This window comes from Homo sapiens, chromosome 13 (assembly GCF_000001405.40).
Source record: "Homo sapiens chromosome 13, GRCh38.p14 Primary Assembly".
Taxonomy (NCBI): Eukaryota; Metazoa; Chordata; class Mammalia; order Primates; family Hominidae; genus Homo; species Homo sapiens.
The window spans coordinates 44,368,885-44,373,646 of NC_000013.11; the positions used below are offsets into that span (position 1 = coordinate 44,368,885).

General features: G+C 47.9%; 1 long non-coding RNA gene across 1 annotated transcript; it reads right to left on the bottom strand.

Annotated features, from left to right (window-relative positions):
* Positions 1-474: 474 nt before the first annotated feature.
* On the bottom strand, positions 475-4,682 carry LOC105370297 (uncharacterized). The gene is made up of 2 exons (XR_001749858.3): positions 4,513-4,682; positions 475-4,313 (listed from the first exon to the last, which is right to left on the bottom strand). It is a non-coding gene; the product is annotated as an uncharacterized LOC105370297 (long non-coding RNA).
* Positions 4,683-4,762: the final 80 nt, after the last annotated feature.

Here is a 4,762-nt window from a genome sequence, read left to right on the forward strand (position 1 = left end):
GATAACATTTGCTATCAGCTTTCTTGATTTTCTCTGCCCACTATTGAGACAACTTCATGAACATTTCCACCAGAATGTAAGTAACATGTATAAAAGGAGATGACCTGAGATTTGCCAAATTTTCCTCTTTTCTAGCCGTACTGAAAATGGTTTGGAAAAAGAAGAAAGTATTCATTTGAAGTGTCGGTTATCTGCTGGTTTTATTTACACAGGGTGTGCCTGTCAACCACTCCCATCCATAATTGAGACCAGCCACCCACAGCACCTGTCGTCAAGGCCTCTATACTCAGTTCCCCTTAGTGAGATAAGGTGAAGAGAGACCACTAGCTAACAATGTGTGAAAGCTTCAAGTGACATGACAGTCACTCCAGATCTGGAAGGGGAAATGACAAAGGAAGACATTCTGGTTTTTTGTTTGTTTTCATGTACATGAGTCAGGGTTCTTGGTTGTAAATAAGACAAACTCACTCTGGCTGATTGAAGCGGAAGAATTTATTGTAAGGATTTCAGGTACCACGGAATAAAAAGGATACTGTCACTGGTTCCACCATGATTGCTAGGTACTACCAGTCTCTAGAAACTCGACCACCAAGATGAATTTTAACGTGTCTCTGTCTTTGCACCACTTGATCAAGATTCACAGTTCCCAAAAGGAGAATCTCATTGGCCAGATCACACGCCACCCTAGCTGTGAGGGGTTGGGAGACCAAGTATGTGGCCCCCTTATGCTCCACGGTGGGAAAGAAGGTCCTAAGACTCTCACAGTGATGGAGTGCCCCAAATATAAAGAATGTTTGCATGCTGGTCAGCCACAGAAAAATGAGAGATGTCCAATGCATCACAGTTTAGTAGTGTAGCATCATTTATAAAGATGGGTAAAACTCAGTCTGTACAGCCACACATCCAGTGCCCTAAGTGGGGCAGATTTATGATTAATGGGCATAGGCTTGTTAGGATTTCTTGCTCTAAAGGCTGAAAATTGGCTGGGCATGGTGGCTCACACCTGTAATCCCTGCATTTTGGGAGGCTGAGGTGGGCAGATCACTTGAGGACAGGAATTCAAGACCACCCTGGCCAATATGGTGAAACCCCGTCTCTGCTAAAAATATAAAAAGCCAGGCGTGGTGGTGCATGCCTGTAATCCCAGCTACTCAGGAGGCTAAGGCAGGAGGATCACTTGAACCCGGGAGGCAGAGGTTGCAGTGAGCCAAGATTGCGCCACTGCACCCCTACCTGGGCGACAGAGTGAGACTCTGTCTCAAAAATAAAAATAAAGGCTGAAAATTTTACCAGCCAAAATTAAATTTTAACCAGTTAGCAGTTTCCTGGCACTTTGCCCATAACAATTTTAAAAGTTGTGGTTGAGCACTGCATGCTAGTGGTATATTACAAAACTCCATGCTGCCACCATAGATGAACCCAGGAGAAGTTCTCCTTAATCAAGTTTCCATTTTCCCCTCCTAAGTCCTCGAAAGAGCAAGACGACTCCATGCTTTGCTCCTTCGTAGTCTAGTAGTGACTCTGGAACTCCAGGAACACAGCTTATAGACTTTAGCCCCAGCTCCCCACATAAGGGTCTGGAGGCTGAGTATAAGAAGGGCCAGGATCCATGCTGGGAAACTGCTTGGTCCATGATGGTGATCCTCAAGGCAATAAACAGGACTGAGACCTGCAGAGGAGCTGGCCTGACTGCAGAGGACAAAAGCAGGGGTGTGAGCAGGTAAAGTGGAGGTCACAGCACGAGGTTTCTTCATCCAACCAAGGACATAAAAAGTTGCAGCAATTTCACTTCCAGGAATCTAATTCCAGTGTTGTGATATAGGAGAAACCAAAGTGTTGTCTCCCACTCTCACACAGCCAGCACACTTTTAACACTAGATGTGTGGGGGATGTTTCCCCTCATACCAAGCAATTCTGCAACAGACACCGGCTGGGTGTCCTTTAATTCAATTCAATTCTGGCACTATGTACCTGGAAATAGCAGGGGCTCAGGGTTTGATCCTATGAGACCGCCCCCCATTTCAGATGCCAATCCCAGGTAGTAGGTTGTCTCCTGTACCTCTGCCTGCCCAGCTATAAACTGGAGTTCCCCCAACCCACTCCTTGTTTGGACTAATCTGCTAGAGTGGATCACAGAACTCAGTGAAACACTTTACTTCTGTTTGCTCATTTATGAGGAAGGATATTACAAAGCATATAGATGAACAGTGAGATGGAAGAGATGCACAGGGCAAGAAATGTGGGAAGGGCTGTGGCGCTTCCATATCCTCTCTGAGCACGCCACCCTCTAGGAACCTGATGTTCTGCTCTCCAGAACTCAACAAACCCTATCCTTTGGGCTTTTATACAGGCTTCATTGCATATGTCTGATTGATTACATCATTGGTCACTGGTGATCAACTTAACTTTCAGCCCCTCTCCTCTCTGTGGAGGTCTGGGGGGACAGGGTGGGACTAAAAGTCCCAACCCTCTAATCCTGCCTTGATCTTTCTGGTGACCAGTCCCCATCCTGAAGCTATCTAGGGTCTCCAAGTCACCAACCATCTCATTAGCATACAAAAGGTAAGATATTTTCATCACTCTGGAGAGTCCAAGGAATTTAAGAGTTTTAGGTCAGGAAACAGGGACTACAATCAAATATATATTTCACAATATCACACGCAGATATACCTGCACAAGTACACACTGATCTATGTACAGGGATATTCACTGAAGCATTGTTGGCAACCACAAAAAAAGAAAAACTGGAAATAATCATCCATGGTTACATCAGTTCAATATATTACTGTATAATCATACTATGAGACATAACACAACTACAAGAAAGAGGTCATATATAAGTGATATGATAATGTTGATATATTAAGTTAGAAGAGCACGTGGCAGAACAGTTTGCATACTACTATTCCGTTTTTTTTTAGAAGGGAATATACAAATAGTCTTGTATATACTGGAAGGGCAACCCAGGAACCGTGGGAACTTTTTGGGGAGGGTGGCAAGGAAAGAGAGACCTTTACTTTTCATTTTCTATCCTATTTCTGTTTGACTATTTACTGTGTAGATGTAGTCTACTCATAATTAAAACAAACTAATTTAAAATGCCGGAAAAGTGAAGCATAGCAGGAAAAAGGAGTCAACAGTAAAGAAAAATTTTCCCCAAAAGGGGCTTCTCTCAGTTAAGAACACTTCTGAACTGTACTCACTGAATGTGAAGACCCAAAGAGAAAACAGTCTCTGTCTGTGTCTTTTCCTTAATGTCGCTCAGAGCCAGACCTCTACTCACCTGGTGAGGACCTGGGTCAGTCTCCTGGTATTTGGACATGATCTGAGAGGAGTGAGTCAGGTAAAGGAACCTTCTGGACCACAGACAACAGCCAGGCTCAGCAGGGATCACTGAGGTAGGAATCCCCCCACCCAAACCCCTAAAAAAGAGCCAACAGTTATTAAAAACATGGGACTAGAGTGGGGCAGACTGGGTTTATGGTCCTGTTACAACAGTGGTGATGCTAACAGTTAAAAGACCATAGAAGCTTGTTTCAAATTAATTGGCCTGTAGAGTAGGAAAAAAAAAAAATGACTCTACTAATGATCCTAGGCAATTCTGTCTTCTAGGTTACAGCAAGCAGCCCCCAGAATGGCCTTTATTGAAGCCTGAGTGACAAGAAGCCTGTAGCGGGGTGAGGGGGACCCGCTTGGAAAAAGGCCCCAAAAGAGGAGCTCTTCCTAACTCTCCAATGACATGGGAAAATTTTACTCACACAAAATTCCCTGGAAACCCAGCCACCTCCCGCTCCAAGAGAAGGCCTAGAGATGCAGTGGCCAGAGACAGCCTCAGGCCTTCTTCCCCATGCTGGGGGTGCTGCTGCTTGCCTTCACCCCGACCCGGTATCCCCACTTCCCGCTGCCCCAGATCTCCCAGGCTGAATGTCCCCTCTTCGCCTCCACTCTTCTGAGCTTCTAAGAGCTAACTCCAAGTGAGGAACTGAACCCCTTCCACCCCTACCTCCCCAGGCAATCTGTAGAGCTCTTGAGCCCTAATACCAGTGTCTGGGAGGCGCGTAAACGCTTCCATTTTTATCCTTCCACTGCAGAAAATGCCCAGTTTAGTCTGGGAGACACTCAGACCCCTCGGGACAAGGGTGGCTAGAGAGAGGTCCAAGCTGCCCTGGGTGGGTGGGGAGTCAAGGCAGGCCAAAGCTTCAGATTTAGACAGTAACCACCAAATCCGACCTGGGCTGCAGGTCCAAGGCCTCTTCCTCTTTCCTGCATGCTCCGCTCTGCCGCTGGCCCATCTTCCAATGCAACCCCTACAACTACCAAAGCAAAAAGGCCTGTCCCAACTCCATCCTCACGGCCCGATCCCCAACCCTCAGGGGATGCCGCTTCGTGTCTCCTCTTTATTTTACAACGCGGCCCTCCTTGCAGCCCTCACGAAAAGTTCTGCAGTGGGGTCCCCCAGCGTGGGGCCCTTCTCGAGACCCTTAAAGAGAAGGCTCGTTTGGTGGACCATACCCGGGCAGCGCGGGCCCGGGCCTGGACTGGTTCTACTTGTGTTCTGAGGTCCCTGACCACCGCCTTGGGTCCAGCCCTCGTCCAGGGGGCGGCGGTGCAGGGGAGACCGCGCGGCCCGGCCTGAAGCGCGGCCGCCCTCATCCCTTCCCCGGGGCTGGGGTGGGTCACCGGCCGACAAACACAGGAGGGGCCGCGTCCCCGTCCCCGACGCGCTCACAAACGCCGTGGTCGCCCGAACCTTCGGCCCCGC